Source organism: Homo sapiens, chromosome 10 (genome assembly GCF_000001405.40).
Source record: "Homo sapiens chromosome 10, GRCh38.p14 Primary Assembly".
NCBI lineage: Eukaryota > Metazoa > Chordata > Mammalia > Primates > Hominidae > Homo > Homo sapiens.
Genome location: NC_000010.11, coordinates 12,034,539 through 12,052,401, shown reverse-complemented (window position 1 = coordinate 12,052,401; position 17,863 = coordinate 12,034,539). Strand labels below are relative to the sequence as shown.

The 17,863-nt window shown below is 44.8% G+C and overlaps 1 protein-coding gene and 1 long non-coding RNA gene across 6 annotated transcripts in view, besides 4 other annotated features; both read left to right on the top strand.

Annotated features, from left to right (window-relative positions):
• Nucleotides 6,325-8,603, top strand: LOC105376416 (uncharacterized). Its single transcript, XR_930666.2, has 3 exons — nt 6,325-6,501; nt 6,679-6,747; nt 8,441-8,603. It is a non-coding gene; the product is annotated as an uncharacterized LOC105376416 (long non-coding RNA).
• Nucleotides 9,176-9,425: an enhancer, noted in NCBI's record as "active region_3031". NCBI's record gives its function as "activates an Ori minimal core promoter by ATAC-STARR-seq in GM12878 lymphoblastoid cells {active_cell/tissue: GM12878}" and the evidence as "EXISTENCE:reporter gene assay evidence [ECO:0000049][PMID:35858748]".
• The window catches only part of UPF2 (UPF2 regulator of nonsense mediated mRNA decay), a 123,149-nt gene continuing 114,517 nt past the window's right edge, over nt 9,232-17,863 (top strand). For 4 of the 5 annotated variants that reach the window (NM_015542.4, XM_047424986.1, XM_047424987.1 and 1 more), the window contains exons 1-2: nt 9,593-9,647; nt 16,961-17,343. In NM_015542.4, the coding sequence (NP_056357.1) occupies nt 16,979-17,343 (365 nt within the window). In that variant the 5' untranslated portion in view covers nt 9,593-9,647; nt 16,961-16,978. Of the gene's footprint in view, nt 9,489-9,592; nt 9,648-16,960; nt 17,344-17,863 lie in introns of those variants that run through there. The other variant, NM_080599.3, reaches the window with a different exon arrangement.
• Nucleotides 9,866-10,005: a silencer, noted in NCBI's record as "silent region_2135". NCBI's record gives its function as "represses an Ori minimal core promoter by ATAC-STARR-seq in GM12878 lymphoblastoid cells {active_cell/tissue: GM12878}" and the evidence as "EXISTENCE:reporter gene assay evidence [ECO:0000049][PMID:35858748]".
• Nucleotides 10,026-10,075: a silencer, noted in NCBI's record as "silent region_2134". NCBI's record gives its function as "represses an Ori minimal core promoter by ATAC-STARR-seq in GM12878 lymphoblastoid cells {active_cell/tissue: GM12878}" and the evidence as "EXISTENCE:reporter gene assay evidence [ECO:0000049][PMID:35858748]".
• Nucleotides 10,596-10,685: an enhancer, noted in NCBI's record as "active region_3030". NCBI's record gives its function as "activates an Ori minimal core promoter by ATAC-STARR-seq in GM12878 lymphoblastoid cells {active_cell/tissue: GM12878}" and the evidence as "EXISTENCE:reporter gene assay evidence [ECO:0000049][PMID:35858748]".

Sequence of the window (17,863 nt, the reverse complement as noted above, 5' to 3'; positions counted from 1 at the left end):
TCGCCTCCCGGGTTCATGCCATTCTTCTGCCTCAGCCTCCCGAGTAGTGGGACTACAGGCACCCGCCACCATGCCCAGCTAATTTTTTCTATTTTTTAGTAGAGATGGGGTTTCACCATGTTAGCCAGGATGGTCTCGATCTCCTGACCTCGTGATCTGTCCACCTCGGCCTCCCAAAGTGCTGGGATTACAGGCGTGAGCCTCCGCGCCAGGCCAGTGAGACCCTGTCTTTAAAAAAAAAAAAATCCTACACATTCCTGCTTCAGTACACAAGTTTCTCATCCTCTCCAAAGAAAACATTCATTTACATTAATCCTTCTACCAAAATGTTACAAAGTGCTTTCCACAAGACACTTTGTATATTAGTGAGATACAAATTATAGCCCCAAGTAGCTTACAGTCTCATGAGAAAAACAGATTTTTTTTTTTTTGAGATGGAGTCTTGCTCTGTTGCCCAGGCTAGAGTGCAGTGACGTGATCTCGGCTCACTGCAACCTCCACCTCCCAGGTTCAAGTGATTCTCCTGCCTTAGCCTCCTGAGCAGCTGGGATTACAGGCGCCCACCACCACACCCGGCTAATTTTTGTATTTTTAGTAGAGACGGGGTTTCACCATGTTGGCCAGGCTGGTCTCGAACTCCTGACCTTGTGATCCTTGGCCTCCCAAAGTTCTGGGATTACAGGCATGAGCCACTGCACCGGGCCGAAAACAGATATTTTAAAGGTATTCCAATATAAGATAATGAATGTTGTAAGATGGGTGATCAGAGGCTGCTGCAGGAACCCGGATGGGGGCTGGGACCTCAGTATTTGTAAGGTGGTAGTGATAAACCACGACTTCCCTGAGGAAATAATGCTTGACTTAACTAGTCTGTAAATATTCGTGGGAGAAAGGACATTCTAGGCAAAGGCATAATGTGCACTAAGGGAAGAGGAAGTCCTGTGTATGCAGGTTATTTGTTATGGCCGGAACTTAGACATGTGGGGAAGTAGCAAGAAATGAGACCAGATGCATAGACAAGAGGCCATGATTAAGAGCTCCTGCTAAGGACTCTGAATTGTACCCTGTAAGCCAAATGGCTTCCAAAGTGGCTTGGCAGAAAGAGTTTACAAACCTCTGTCATTAACAGTTGCTTAGCTAAGAAAACTCTTCCTTTTTTCTCCCCTTTTTCATCTTCATTTGTAACCACTTCTTTTGTTTGTTTGTTTGTTTATTTGTTTTTGAGATGGAATTTTGCTCTTGTTTTCCAGGATGGAGTAAAATGGCACCATCTCGGCTTACTGCAACCTCCACCTCCCAGGTTCAAGTGATTCTCCTGCCTCAGCCCCTCGAGGAGTGTGCCAATATGCCCAGCTAATTTTGTACTTTTAGTAGAGACGAGGTTTCACCATGTTGGCCAAGCTAGTCTTGAACTCCTGACCTCAGGTGATCCACCTACCTCGACCTCCCAAATTGCTGGGATTACAGGCATTGAGCCACTGCACCTGGCTGTAAGCCCTTCTTTTTAAGCTTCATTTAATCTTCAATGTCTTGGCACAGATTCCTAATGCTTGAAGTAAAAGGTTTCAGATGCACTGGTTTCTCAACAGTGTTAAGGCAAAGAAATGGCTGTTGAAGTAGTATTTATTCAAACTGCAAAGCTATTTAGATCAAGTTTGTGGTTTCCAACATGATTTAGTAACAGCCAACACTTACAGAGCACATTCTAGAGCATGGTGCTAAGTGCTTTTATTTCAATTACCTCCTTTACTCTTCATAATACCCCATGAAAGAGTACTATTATTATCATGATTGTTAAGAATAAAAAGCTGTTATTTAAACTGGTTGAATAATGAGCCCAAGTTCAAATAGTGAGTAAATGTTGGAATCAGAGTTTGAACTCATGCAGTCTGAGTGCACAGCTGCCTGTTCCTTGCTTCCTGACCTGGTCATTTCTGTCATCTTTCAAAAACCTTGGGTCCTTTGGACTCATTCTTTCTCCCTACACTCCCACAGCTCTTCAGAATCACCGCTGGTGTCCAATTCTGTCCCCTTTCATTCACTAAAGGTTTTGGCTCCTTCCTGTCTCTTTTTTTTTTTTTTTTTGAGACAGAGGTTTGCTCTGTTGCCCAGGCTGGAGTGCAGTGGCGCGGTCTTGGCTTACTGCAACCTCCGCCTCCCAGGTTCAAGCGATTCTCTTGCCTCAGCCTCCCGAGTAGCTGGGATCTTACTGTCTACTTTGCAGAATTTTTTTTTTTTTTTGAGACGGAGTCTTGCTGTCGCCCAGGTTAGAGTGCAGTGGCATGATCTTGGCTCAGTGCAACCTCTGCTTCCCAGGTTCAAGTTAGTCTCCTGCCTCAGCCTCCCAAGTAGCTTGGACTACAGGCCTGTGCCACCACGTCTGGCTACTTTTTTGTATTTTTAGTAGAGATGGGGTTTCACCATGTTGGCCAGGCTGGTCTCGAACTCCTGGCCTCAAATGATCTGCCCGTGTCGGCCTCCTGAAGTGCTGAGATTACAGGCTTAAGCTACCACACCTGCCTAATTTTTGTATTTTTAGTAGAGGCAGGGTTTCACCATGTTGGCCAGGCTGGTCTCAAACTCCTGATCTCAAGTGATCCGCCCGCCTTGGGCTCCCAACATGCTGGGATTACAGGCATGACCCACCACACCCGGCCTCTTTGCAGCTTTTATTTACTCCAGTCTGTCCATCTTCCCCATCCACACTCATGCATTCCTCCTTTCCCTTCACCTCCCTCCTCGCCCAGCTTAGGTTCCATGATCCTCCATTCTAATCATTCTCTTGCAAACACCCTCGATTCCCTTACTCTTTGTCTGTCATTACCATCATGAAAAAAAAAAAAAAGCCCAACTGTGATTAAACCTAACTTTCCATATCTTCTGGAGAAACTGGCATGTGCCAGCGGGGTGCGGTGGCTCACGCCTGTAATCCCAGCACTTTGGGAGTCCGAGGTGGGCGGATCACCTGATATCAGGAGTTCGAGACCAGCCTGGCCAACATGGTGAAACCCTGTCTCCACTAAAAATACAAAAAAATTAGCCAGGCGTGGTGTTGGGCACCTGTAATCCCAGCTATCAGGACGCTGAGGCAGGAGAATTGCTTGAACCCAGGAGGCAGAGATTGCAGTGAGCTGAGATCCCACTCCACCCTGGGTGACAAGATTGAGAATCTGTCTCAAAAAAAAAAAAAAAGAAAAGAAAAAAACAAAGAAACTGGCATGTGAGGCTGGATAGTTTTAGTTTCCTTTTTTTTTGATATGGAGTTTCCATCTTGTTGCCCAGGGTGGAATGCAGTGGCATGATCTCACTCAGTGCAACCTCCACCTCCCAGGTTCAAGTGATTCTCCTGCCTCAGCCTCCTGGTTAGCTGACACTACAGGTGCTCACCACCATGCCTGGCTAATTTTTGTATTTTTAGTAGAAATGGGGTTTCACCATATTGGCCAGGTTGGTCTCAAACTCCTGACCTCAGGTGATGCACCCACCCGCCTCGGCTTCCCAAATTGCTGGGATTACAGGCGTGAGCCACCGTGCCTGGCTCTGGTTTTACTTTCAACTCATGACCTCAGAGCTGAAGGAGCTGCTCAGCATAACCTGGAAATCCCTAAGGGGCAGCTCACTGGCTTTCAACACTCTTCAGTCTCTCTCACATTTTCTCTTCTCTTTTCAAACCTGCCCAACTGTCTCCCTCATCTCACTCTTAGCTGATGACCGTGCCTCAAATTTCACTGAAAAATTGTAATGATTAAGAACGAAATCCAGGGCCAGGTGTGGTGGCTTACTTGTGTAATACCAGCACTTTGGGAGGCCCAGGCGGGTGGATCACTTGATGTCAGGAGATCGAGACCAGACTGGCCAACATGGAGAAACCCAGTCTCTACTAAAAATACAAAATTAGCCGGGCATGGTGGCGGGCGCCTGTAATCCTAGCACTTTGGGAGGCTGAGGTGGGTGGATTGCCTGAGCTCAGGATTTCGAGACCAGCCTGGGCAACACAGTGACACCCCATCTCTACTAAAATACAAAAAATTAGCCAGGCGTGGCGGTGTGCATCTGTAGCCCCAGCTACTGGGGAGGCTGAGGCAGGAGAATTGCTTGAACCCGGGAGGCAGAGGTTGCAGTGAGCTAAGATCGTGCCACTGGACTCCAGCCCGATGACAGAGTGAGACTCTATCTCAAAAAAAAAAAAAAAAATTAACTGGGTGTGGTGGCACATCCCTGTAGTCCCAGCTACTCGGGAGGCTGAGGCAGGAGAATCACTTGAACCTGGGAGGTGGAGGTTGCAGTGAGGCAAGATCGTGCCACTGCACTCCAGCCTGGGCGACAGAGCGAGATTCTGTCTCAAACAAATCAACAATCAAACAAAAAAACCCCCACATATCCTCTTTTATCTGTCATGTAAAAATACCAAAAATATACAAAAGTAAAAGGTGCAAAACCAAACAGATTCCTCCCTTTTCTCACATTTTCCTATGGCTACATTTTTCTGCTGCTCTTCTCAACATAATTTCTCAAATATTACTCCACTGTTTCCATCTCCAACTTAGTGTTCAACCATTCCAATCTGTCCCCACCACGTCACTGACCTGCATCTGCAAGGTAAGCATTCGTTCCCGCATTGTTAATGCAACAAGCACTTCTCTGTCCTCATGTTCTTCGCTGTCCTAGTAACACAGAAGACAGCTTCCCACTTTTCCTTTCTTGAAGCACCTCTTTTCTTGGCTTTCATGACGCCACACTCTCCTGGTTTTCCCTTTCTTTATTCAGTCTCCTTTTTAGATATTTAACCTCTGTATATGGAAGTTTCTCAGGGCTGAGTCCTGGACCTTTTTCTTTTGCTGCAGTTTCTTGGGTGATCCCATCGATTCTTTTTTTTTTTTTTTTTGAGACGGAGTCTTGCTCTTGTTGCCCAGGCTGGAGTGCAGTGGCACCATCTCGGCTCACTGCAACCTCTGCCTCCCGGGTTCACGCCATTCTCCTGCCTCAGCCTCTGGAGTAGCGGGGACTACAGGCGTTCGCCACTATGCCTGGTTAATTTTTGTATTTTTAGTAGAGATGGGGTTTTGTCATGTTGGCCAAGCTGGTCTCAAACTCCTGACCTCAAGTGATCTGCCTTACTCGGCCTCCCAAAGTGCTGGGGTTACAGGCGTGAGCCACTGTGCCTGGCCTGAACCCATCCATTCTTATGGCTTTAAATACTGTCTGTTCGGATGACTTTCAAAATTTCATCTCTAGGCTGGAGCTCTCCCCTGTGTTCCAAGTGCCCATTTGACATTTCTAGCTGCATAACCAGGAACTTCCAATTCTCCAGGTTTTACCTCAAATTTTAAATCATTCAAGAGCCTTTTCCTGACTATAAAGCAGCCTCCCTCTTCCCTCTCTCCTGTTACTCTGCATGATGTTACCCTTTTTCCCTTTGAGCATTTATTCTAACCATCACAGTTTTTATCTGTTTATTTACGATCTACCTCCTGCATTAGATTGTAATCTCATTCATTGGACTTTCACTGCTTGCCAAGTGCTGTTCTAAGTACTTTATAAGTCTTATCATTTTATTTATTTATTTATTTATTTATTTTTTGAGAGGGAGTCTCGCTTTGTTGCCCAGGCTGGAGTGCAGTGGCGCAATTTTGGCTCACTACAACCTCCGCCTGCTGGGTTCAAGCAATTCTCCTACCTCAGTCTCCCGAGTAGTGGAGATTACAGGCGCCCGCCACCATGACCGGCCAATTTTTGTATTTTAGTAGAGGCAGGGTTTCACCATGTTGGCCAGGCTAGTCTCGAGCTCCTGACCTCAGGTGATCCACCCGCCTTGGCCTCCCAAAATGCTGGGATTACAGGTGTCAGCCATAGCGCCCGGCCAAGCCAATATTAATTTACTTTTTTGACTAGCCACATTAAAAGCTTGAAAAATAAAACAGGTTAATCTCACATTGCTTGTGTTCTGTTTTGGTGGAATTCAGAGAAGCCAGTGTTAGTGAACTGATTTTCATCTTACAGTTCCACAAGAAATTCCAACATGATTTGGTAATAAGTACTAATACGTTTCGTATGTTTATATTTGTTTAAATGCACCCTCAATACTTACATTTCTTTTCTTTTTTTATTTTTTGAGACAGAGTTTCGCTCTTGTTGCCCAGGCTGGAGTACAATGGAGTGATCTCGGCTGCCTGCAACCTCCGCCTTCTGGGTTCAACGATTCTCCTGCCTCAGCCTCCCGAGTAGCTGGGATTACAGGCGCACACCACCAAGCCTGGCTAATTTTATATTTTTAGTAGGGACAGGGTTTCACCATGTTGGCCAGGCTGGTCTCGAACTCCCGCCCTCAGGTGATCCGCCCGCCTTGGCCTCCCAGTGTTGGGATTACAGGCGTGAGCCATCACGCCCGGCCGATGCTTATATTTCATATTGAAGGGACACACCTCAACACATTTACTTTTGGAAACTGTTAAGCAGATAGAGGGAACGCTGAAAAAATTTCTACCAGAGATATACCAAGAGGTGGGTATTTTTTAAAAAGCAGCTTAAACTAGGTTAGTTAAACATCGGCTTCTAAAAGATCAAAGCTGGATTTCCTCATGGAACAGAACACTCCCAGTTCTCTGAGGTCAGTGGGCAGAGGCTGTAGTTATAGCTGGTTGGCTTCATCTGATGCATTTTTCTTTTCCTTAAACTCAGGATTTGTCCTGCTCCGTAATTGTAATCTCTTTGCCTGGCCTTTGCTTTCGTCTGTGAAGCTGCCACTAGGTAGGTTTTAAGTAGGGAGTAGTATCGTGTAGGTCTAAATAAAAACTAAATAGTTTCATTCTCTTTTTTCCCCATATAGAACAGTTCTGTCAATTGGAGCAGGCAAAAATAACAATGAACATTTTTGAGACTTTTCTCAAAAATTCATCTTGAGAATGTATTTTCAGAAAATCATGAAGTTTGAATTATTATCCGAATAAAAAAATGATGGCCTCTTCAGAGCGGGGTGTTTTTTCTAGTTAAGAGATTACAATGATATTCCCACATCAGGCTTTTGGTGGCTAGCTTGACATCTGTCTTTGGAAGTAAAATGATTGGCAGCATTCTCAGTTTATGTAAAAGTTTGCATAGAGACATAGCAGAAAGAACTTGGGTTTTTGGAGTTAGATTTGAGAATACTAGATAGTATACTTATTAGTTTTGTGATAGTAAATTCATCTGACTCTATTTTTATAAAATGGTGATTGCGATGAACTAAAATCACAAATGTGAAATAGCAAATTCTCAACAAAAAGGCCCTCCTGTTTTTTGATTTTAGGTGATTTCCTTTTAACACCTGATTAAAGACAAAGGTTGACTTGATTTAGGATGAGAAGGATTTATTATATTTATTAACAAAGAGGTAAAGCTTTTTTCTTTCTTTCTTTTCTTTCTTTTTTTTTTTTTTTTTGAGGCAGAGTCTCACTCTGTTGCCCAGTCCAGAGTGCAGTGGCGCTATCTCGGCTCACTGCAACCTCTGCTTCCCGGGTTCTAAGTGATTCTTCTGCCTCAGCCTCCCGAGTAGCTGGGATTACAGGCGCTCGCCACCACATTTGGCTAATTTTGTATTTTTAGTGGAGACTGGGTTTCACCATATTGGGGCCAGGCTGGTCTGGAACTCCTGACCTCAGGTGATCCACCAGCCTCGGCCTCCCAAAGTACTGAGATTACGGGCATGAGGCACCGCACCAGCCAGAAGTAAAGCTTCTTAAGGTAATCCCATGAAATGGGAAAAGGAAACCTTGAAGAGAAGCGTGGGTGGCTATCACCAATATGGTATTTGGGGCAGTTCTCATAATTGTTTATCAATGCTGCAGAATAGCAGTATTCATCTTTCTCTTTTTTTTTTTTGAGACGGAGTCTCCCTCTGTCGCCCAGGCTGGAGTGCAGTGGCGCAAACTCGGCTCACTGCAAGCTCTGCCTTCCCGGTTCACGCCATTCTCCTGCTTCAGCCTCCGGAGTAGCTGGAACTACAGGCACGTGCCACCACGGCCGGCTAATTTTTTTTGTATTTTTAGTAGAGACGGGGTTTCACCGTGTTAGGCAGGATGGTCTCGAACTCCTGACCTTGTGATCCGCCCGCCTCGGCTTCCCAAAGTGCTGGGATTACAGGCGTGAGCCACCGTGCCCGGCCTTCATCTTTCTCTTTCACTATCCTTTAAATGACTGACCTATGTGTAGTGTATAAAAAATATATATTTTTAAATACAGGAAGCAGCAACACTCAGTATGAGAGGATAATTTGCGTGCTAAGAGTAAATGGGGAAGCAAACAGTAAATAGAGGCAAATGGGCAAAGGTTGAGTCATAGGGAACCTGGACTTGCCTCAAGTATTTGTGGTTGGTAGTAGTTCATTACGTGGGCTTGGGCACCAGGTGGGGCCCCCTCAAGTCAAGCAAACGTCAAGACCAGTTTCGCACCCTTGTTCCTCTAGCTCCGGACCAGCCAGAGCCACCTACTCGGATCATGTTGGCAGAACCCAGTACTGTTTCGAGGCCAGATGCACCATTTCAGCAATTCAGGAGGAAATAAGCAGTGTGGATAAACTGATACCCATTTTTGAAAGTCGGCCTGGGTTCGCATTCAGAAGAAATGTCGACGCTAGCCATTTTTTTTTTAAAATGGGTGATTTGATAACTCAGGGAAGTCTTGCCACTGTAATTTTTAAAAGTTTGCTTGCTAGAACCAGGTACTTTCTAAGAAGTGTATGGAAAAAGCCTTGATTCTTCTTCGCCCTGGGTGGTTTTTACGTCGAACACCTAGAAGTGCTTCTGGAAATCCCCCCGCAGGACTTTCGATGTCTTTTAGGGCATTCTTAAGACTAGACCCATTCCTAAGCGACTCCCACCTCCCAAACCAGCCATATGGTTTAGTTTCTCCAGTTTCCAATTTTCTAAATCTTCAACGTCTCCCCTCGAATTAGTCCAATCAAACTTTCTCTTCTTAGACCTCTTCCTTAGGTTCGCACCAGGAAACGCCCAGGAGAATCACGTGGCCGGGCTTGTCCTTAATGGCGCTCCGTAACCCTCCCACTATTCCACCACACTTCCTCGCCTCCCGTGAGCTCCGCCCCGCCCCATTCGCGCTTCCCACCCCCATCCCCCGCGAAGCGCCTGCGCCTGCGCAGCTCCAATTCAGGCGCTTTCCCTTTCCTGGCGACCAATCCACTTCCTGCCTCGGGTCCTCGGAACACTCCACCCCTCCGCTGGGGCCCTGGTTTGAGGTGCTGGTAGTGGCTACCTTACGTATTGCCAGTCTGAAAAATTCGCTCTTCTCATCGACTGGGGAATTTGAAAGAGCTGTTAAGTGAATGGCACTCATATGAGCCTTTGCCCCGGACCCGCCACCCCAGAGTCAAGCTGAGGGCATCGGCATGCCGCAGGGAAGACGATCAGGACTGTTTTTAATCGGGCAGTCGCGCGGATGGCCTTTTCCCTCTCGCCTCCTTCCGCCCCGCCCCCACTCTCAGCCCGGCCGCGCTGGTGAGTGGCGGGCGGGAGGGCTGGCGGGCGGAGGGAGGAGGGGGAGCTGAGGGAAGGCGGGCCCTCGGCTGCGAGATAGGTGGGGGGAGGGGAGGGGAGAGCCCGAGCGCTGGAGTTGGTGCTGGGAAACCCGGGGCTAATGTTGACAACAGGCTCGAGGTGAGTCCCGGGGATCCTCCTTCCCCTCCGCTCCAACGATCGGGAGGAAATGGGGCTGGGGGGCACCGGCCTAGACTCCTACTCCCTGGGGGACCCCAGAGGCGACTCCACACTCCAGCTCTCCGGGGTCGGCGAGCAGTGGAGGGACCGCGGGTCCGGCGTCGTTCTCCTCAGACCCCCTGTCTCCGAGGCTCCCATCAACGCGGGAGCCCCCGGGCCGGGCCATGCTTGGGGGGCGGTGGAGGAGGTGCCTGCCCCACATGCCTGGGCCGGGCCTCGAGACTGGAGGCGGGGAGCCCGCGGTGGAGGGGCGAAAGTGTTCGGGGGCGTGGAGGAGAGCGAGGGGAGGTCGGGGGAAGCTCCTCGAGAGCCGGGAGGGAAGCGAGGGCGAGAAAGTGGGGAGGGCGCGTGTGTGGGAGGCTGCGGAGTGGGGAGACCGGCCGGGAAGGCTTCTGTGGCGAGGGAGTGTGGGGCGAGAAGTTGGGGTTGGGGCAGCGATGGTCCGCGAAGGTGACCGTGGATACCTGTGGGAAGGGGAGTTGTGTCGGGGAAGTGTGGTGGGTTTAGAGGTTCCTACACCACCAGAGCAGGGGTTTGTAGGAGAGGTATGTGTAGGGGAAGGGGCTTGGGGTGTATCTGGGGATGGTGGGCATGGGCTGTTTGGTTGACTTCCTTTTAATCACATAGGCTGGTTGATTCTTCACTTTACCTTCACCTCTTCAAGGCGCCAAGCACTCTCTTCTTGCTAGGACTGTTGGACTAAGGAAGTGATCACAGGATATTTGGTCCCCAGGTTGGCAGAGCAGAGCCAGCTGGGTCCACGCTGGGGTGATCGGACCTTCAGCTCTCTTGCTCATCTTAGAGGACTTACACGACACGAAACGATGCATCAGATCAAAGTGAAACCCTCGCTGACGCTTTATCTCATTTCCATAGTTCTTAGGTGTTCCTTAACATCGTCAGTCTCCTCATTTGTGAGCTGGTACAATTTCTAACAGTTCTTAATACGTCCTTTATACTAAGGATGTTCTTTAAAAAATAAAGTCAGAAACTGGGAGATAGTGTTCCTGTGCTGTTCTGTCCTGACAGCATTTTGAATAAGAGAATTGAAAGGTAAAACCGCATTCTCTCATACTGGAGTGTTTTCGGAGCACTCTGATTGGGATTTCATACATAATCCATATGGTACTTTGCAAGGGAATGTCTTTAAAAGGGAAACACCCCCTTTTGTGCCCTCTTCCCCCCAATACACTCCATTGGTACTTCTAGTAAATTAGTTTTACTTTCTTTTGGAAGTTCAGAATGTATTTAGAATACCAAATAAAATATACAGTTCAAGTGACAGGACACTATTTTGGGAGCTAGGAAGGTGGTTTTAAAGCATGGTTTCCTTTTAAGGGTAGTCTGAATATAATTGTATTCAGCAAACTAATTTGTAACAGCTAATCGGATTCCAGTGAAAAGATCACGACTTTTTCTCCTCACTATCTTGAGAAAGGACCTATTTAAAATTGTATTTGGACTTGAAAAACTTTTGGAAACACTTTAGATGAAAAGTTTGGCTGTTAAAGCTTGAAGTTATTGAAATAAGAATTTTAGCATTTTATTAAATATCACTTAGTGCTCAGTTTTTTAAGTCGACATAAAACAAACGTGTATTGAGGTGAATCACGGTGTTTGTATATTTTATTCGTTTTAGTGTAGGTAGTGAAAAAGCACTGGGTAGTGAGTGTTGGTCCAGCCACGGAAACTAGCTGTATATATAATCTTGGGTAGGTGACTCTGCTGCTATCCTTGGAATGTAAAAATTGAGGATAGAAGTAGATAAAATCTAATAGTCTTTATCTGACTTTACAAATCTTTCATTGTATGCTGAACTTCTCAGTGTTCTTTGTGACAGAACATTTATTAATGCCTCCCTCATGCTAGTTACTATGCTAGAATTTTAAGAACTCTACAAGATAGATAGCAGTATATCCATCTTATTGATAAATAAGTGGACTCAGAGAAGTTGTTGCCTGATTTCTGTAGCTATCAGGCTGCAGAGTTGGGATGCAGATTTAAAATCAGTCCGACTTCCAAGCCCATGTATGTTGTTTTCACAAGTTGCATTGCTGCCTCTTCATGAACTTCTAGATTTTTGTCTTTTTTTTTTGTTTACGGAAATTTAGTCGCAAGTATACTTTGGGCGTATGCTTGTAATGTAAGGATGAAGTGGTTGAAAGGAGATACCAGTATCAGGACTTAAGGGTTTTACGGAGAATCTGTTTTATTATGTTCTAGGGTACAGTCTAATCCTTTTTTTTGTTTTGTTTTTTGTTTTTTGTTTTTCTTGAGACGGAGTCTGGCTTTGTCGCCAGGCTGGAGTGCAGTGGTGCCATCTTGGCTCACTGCAACCTCCGCCTCCCGGGTTCAAGTGATTCTCCTGCCTCAGCCTCCTGAGTAGCTGGGACTACAGGCGTGTGCTGCCACGCCCAGCTAATTTTGGTGTTTTTAGTAGAGATGGGGTTTCACCATGTTGTTGGCCAGGATGGTTTCGAACTCTTGACCTCGTGATCTACCTGCCTCGGCCTCCCAAAGTGCTGGGATTACAGGCATGAGCCACCATGCCCAGCCCCGAGTCTAATTCTTGCATGCCTACTGCAGCTTTATTTCTTATACTAAGTACTTAAAATTTAATGAAGACATGAATCTTATTAAAGAGTCATGAAAGTTTGGGACTTTGTTGAACTAATAAATGATGATCTTTGTGAATTTGTCAGATACTACATGAATTTCTTAATCTTTTCTTTGAAAAATTTAAGATGTTATTTTATCTTCAGAATGAGACATGCTGCCAGCCACAGTGGCTCATGCCTGTAAATCCCAGAACTTTGGGAGGCCAAGGCAGGCAGATCACCTGAGGTCGGGAGTTTGAGACCAGCCTGACCAACATGGAGAAACCCCATCTCTACTAAAAATACAAAATTAGCCGGGCATGGTGGCACATGCCTGTAATCCCAGCTACTCGGGAGGCTGAGGCAGGAGAATGACTTGAACCCGGGTGGCAGAGGTTGTGGTGAGCCGAGATCGTGCCACTGCACTCCAGCCTGGCGACAGAGTGAGACTCCATCTCAAAAAAAAAAAAAAAAAGAGAGAGAGAGAGACATAATTGTAAGTTCTGATGCCATTCTTTGTAGTGTCCTGTGGTCCTGAAATGTTACTTGTTGATGCGTCACATCAGAAAATGTGAAATCTATATAAACTTTTTTCACTTAATGATTAATATCCTTCAATAAGATCATGTTATTACCTTAGATATTAAATTGTCCCCATATGTTTCAGCCAGAGTCTGCTAAAAGTTAAAAACATTACATGAGAACTCCTTAACCATTATGAAGGATTCTTTCTACTCTTGAGATTCATAATTCTGTGGGTTGCTATAGTCAGTATTTACCAGCATGTCTCCCATCTCACAATTTGGTACTCTTAGGATTCTTTGGTTCAGAGAATGGGTTCAGATTCCCATTCTGTCACCAGCTGTGCAGGCCTTGGTCAAGTTACTTGGTCAAGTCTCAGTTTACTCATTTATAAAATAGGGAAAATAATACCCACCTCATAAAGATTTTAGTATTAAATGAGATAATATACGTAAAATGTTTAGTATGGTACCATGAGTAGTGTATTAGTATTATAGTCTTTTTGAAAGTTTGCTTGCTTTAAGGGCGTGATGTTTTCACATTAAAGTTGGATATTTAATTGAAAATGTATAAGAATCAATAACTACACTTCTAGATAATAGAAATGCTGCCCGGGTATAGTGGCTTATACCTGTAATCCTAGCACTTTGGAAGGCCGAGGCGGGAGGATGGATCCCTTGAGCCCGGGAGTGTGAGACCAGCCAGGGCAACGTACTGAGACCTTGTCTCTATTTTATTAAAACAGTTTTTTTTTAAATTAAAAAAATAGATAATATAAATGCTAATGTTGTCTTGGCATAGAAATGCTTTTTCTTTTGTTGTTGTTGTTGTTTTTTTTTGTATTTTTGAGACGGAGTCTCCGTCTTTTGCCCAGACTGGAGTGCAGTGGCGCTATCTCGGCTTACTGCAGCCTCCGCCTCCCGGGTTCAAGCGATTCTCTTGCTTCAGCCTCCCGAGTAGCTGGGATTACAGGCACCCTCCACCATGCCTGTTTAATTTTTGTATATTTAGTAGAGACGGGGCTTCCACATGTTGGCCAGGCTGGTCTTGAACTCATGACCTCAAGTGATCTGCCTGCCTTGGCTTCCCAAAGTGCTGGGATTACAGGAGTGAGCCATGGTGCCCAGCCTGCTTTTTCATATATTAAAGGTAATTTGTGTGTGTGTGTGTGTGTGTGTGTGTGTGTGTGTGTGTGTGAGATGGAGTCTCACTCTGTCGCCCATGCTGGAGTGCAGTGGCATGATCTTGGCTCACTGCAACCTCTGCTTTCTGGGTTCAAGCAGTTCTGCCTCAGCCTCCCCAGTAGCTGGGATTACAGGCGCCTGCTACCACGCCCAGCTAATTTTTGTATTTTCAGTAGAGATGGGGTTTCACCATGTTGGCCAGGCTGGACTCAAACTCCTGACTTCAGGTGATCCGCCCACCTTGGCCTCCCAAATTGCTGGGATTACAGGCATGAGCCACCGCACCCAGCCCCTAATGACGATTTTAAAAATAGGCCCAATAGCTTTTTTGTTGTTGTTGTGAGTTTTACCAGTGGGGTTAACTACAGCTATTAGGTGTCACTGTCAAAATAAATGCATAGAACAAGGGAGTGGAGAGCAATGAGGGAGTAAAAGAAAAAGGAGAAGGAAAAAGGTAGTTATGAGAAGGTACAGGCTGTGGCATGTACCTGCAAAAATTAAAGTGTTTCTGTTGGTCTAGGTTGCTTTCTGTGAAATTAACATTTTAATAGAGTACTGAAGTAAAGTATTTTTGTATTTAAAAAATATCAATATTACAAATGCTTTTTTTGGTAACCTAGTTTTAAGTGCTGTAATTTAAAACCTATATTTGAAAATATTTAAGGATACTATTGCTTTTAATAAAAAAAAACGAAGGGCTGGCCGGGCACTGTGGCTCATGCTTGTAATCCTGCACTTTGGGAGGCCAAGTCAGATGGATCACTTGAGGTCAAGAATTCAAGCAGCCTGGCCAATATGGTGAAACCCATCTTTACTAAAAATACAAAAATTAGCTGAGTGTGATGGCACACACTTATAATCTCAGGTACTTGGGAGGCTGAGGTGGGAGGTTCACTTAAACCCGGAAGGTGGAGGTTGCAGTGAGCCGAGATCACACCACTGCACTCCAGCCTAGGCAACAGAGCGAGACTCAAAAAAAAAAAAAAAAAGAAAAACAAAAACACTAAAGCTCAAAAACACAGTGGCTCATACCTGTAATCCCAGCACTTTGGGAGGCCCAGGTGGATGGATCACTTAAACTCAGGATTTCGAGACCAGCCTAGTCAACATGGGGAAATCCCATCTCTACTAAAAATACAATTACCTGGATGTGGTGTTGAGCACCTACTGTTCCAGCTACTTGGGGGGCTGAGGCAGGTGGGTCACTTGAGCCTGCGAGGTCGAGACTTCAGTGAGCTGTGATTGTGCCACTGCACTCCAGCCTGGGCGACAAAGTGAGACCCTGTTTCAAAAAGAAAACATAAAACTAAGAAATTTAGGTAATTTTCTACCTCTAAAATAGAATTTTGATTTTCTTTTTTTTCTTGAGGCGGAGTTTTGTCCTTGTTGCCCAGGCTGGAGTCCAATGGCGTGATCTTGGCTCATTACAACCTCCGCTTCCCGGGTTCAAGCCATTCTCCTGCCTCAGCCTCCCGAGTAGCTGGGATTACAGGCATGCGCCACCATACCCGTCTAATTTTATATTTTTAGTAGAGACGAGATTTCTCCATGTTAGTCAGGTTGGTCTCGAACTCTCGACTTCAGGTAATCTGCCTGCCTTGGCCTTCCAAAGTGCTGAGATTATAGGCATGAGCCACTGTGCTTGGCCGAATTTTGATTTTCTTATATACAACTCTTAGATAATTTAGGAGTTAAAACGTGAAACACCATGCCTAAAAGAAATTAGACAACTAGTTCTGAGTAGAGAAATATATTTTTAGAAAAGAAAAATTCAGAATTTTCCTGCAAAGTATAGTTTTTTGTTCCACAGTTACTTTCAGTTAACTATAAGCCTGTACTATAGGCCAATGCTATCCAATAGAACTTTCTGTGGAAATGTTCTGTATCTGCCCTGCTGTGTATGGAAGCCATTAGTCACATGTGGAATTGAGCACTTGAAATACAGATACTGACTGAAGAACTGAATTTCAAATTTTATTTAATTTTAATTAATTTACATTTAAGTAACCACATATGACTAGTGCAGCAGTTTTTGGGTGATAATTTTTTCTCCGACGGATATTTAGCAATGTCTGGAGTTATATTTGGTTGTCAAAATGAGGGAGGAGCTACTTGTATGCACTGCATAGCAGGCAGGGACACTGCTAAACCTCCTACAGAGCACATGGTGACCCCTTTCCTCTAAAACCAAAGGAGTATTTTGCCCAAACTGTCAATGGTGCTGAACTTTAGAAACCCTGGGCTAATAGCTACTCTGTATTGACAGATATAGCACAGAACATACGGATTTTAGGTTCATGTTTATTTATAAATTAACTTTAACTAATACAGATGAAGAAGTTAAAAGTCTAGTTTAATTTGAGATAGTTAACAGTTTTTGTATCTGAAAGTTTGATGATAAGGTTAGAGCAATGAAGTGAGATTCGTGAGTCCGCTGTTCTGTTTTGTCCGTTGACATATAGGAGGCAAGGGCTTGTTTTTGTTTCCTTTCTCAGCTGAAATACTGACATTGAATATTATATGAAATAGTGAACTGCCATCTTTCATGGTTGTCAAATGCTAGGGTTAAAGCTGACTCAAAATGTTCACAGATATATTCTGAAGTATTTACAATTAAATGACATATTGTTTTGGAGTTGATAGTGGCTGAATCTGAGTGATGGGTACGTGGAGGTTCCTTATATTATGCTCTCTACTTTTGTCTGGGCTTGGATTTTTCCTTATAAAAAGTAAAAAACAAGTACTTAGACATAGGCCTAACTAATAATGATAGGATGTGGAATGTGATGAATAACTTATTTTGTAACAGAAATAGTATTCATTTTACCTGCCTTTATTTACTCTTTTACAATTGCCAAGTTGCATTAATATGTTCTGTTTAAAAAAATAGTGTGATATCATTTTAAAAAGTCACTGCATCTATGGTACTGACATTCTTTCCCTCTTACAGATTGTCCTGGGTCACATAATGCCAGCTGAGCGTAAAAAGCCAGCAAGTATGGAAGAAAAAGACTCTTTACCAAACAACAAGGAAAAAGACTGCAGTGAAAGGCGGACAGTGAGCAGCAAGGAGAGGCCAAAAGACGATATCAAGCTCACTGCCAAGAAGGAGGTCAGCAAGGCCCCTGAAGACAAGAAGAAGAGACTGGAAGATGATAAGAGAAAAAAGGAAGACAAGGAACGCAAGAAAAAAGACGAAGAAAAGGTGAAGGCAGAGGAAGAATCAAAGAAAAAAGAAGAGGAAGAAAAAAAGAAACATCAAGAGGAAGAGAGAAAGAAGCAAGAAGAGCAGGCCAAACGTCAGCAAGAAGAAGAAGCAGCTGCTCAGATGAAGTAAGGCAGTTGATTGTATTTATTGATGTGAGGGAATGGGAAGATTGGAATATTTTGGGAAAAAAACATTATTTGAAATATAGCGTCCTGGGTGCAGCTCTTTAAGAATTGGGAGTATCTTAATTTACTTGTTCTGTTAGTTTCACTGACTAGAGGCATGCTTAAGGTGTGTTAATTATTCAAATTAAATAATAGTAACAATCTTTAATGAGTACTGTTTTGAGGTCCTGGGTAATCTTTTATTTATTTATTTTGAGACGGAATTTTGCTCAGTCGCCCAGACTGGAGTGCAATGGCACCATCTTGGCTCACTCCAACCTCCGCCTCCTGGGTTCAAGTGATTCTCCTGCCTCAGCCTCCCGAGTAGCTGGGATTACAGGCACCTGCCATCATGCCCAGCTAATTTTTGTATTTTTGTAGAGATGGCGTTTCACCATGTTGGCCAGGCTGGTCTTGAGCTCCTGACCTCAGGTGATCCGCCCGCCTCAGCCTCCCCAAAGTGCTGGGATTACAGGTGTGA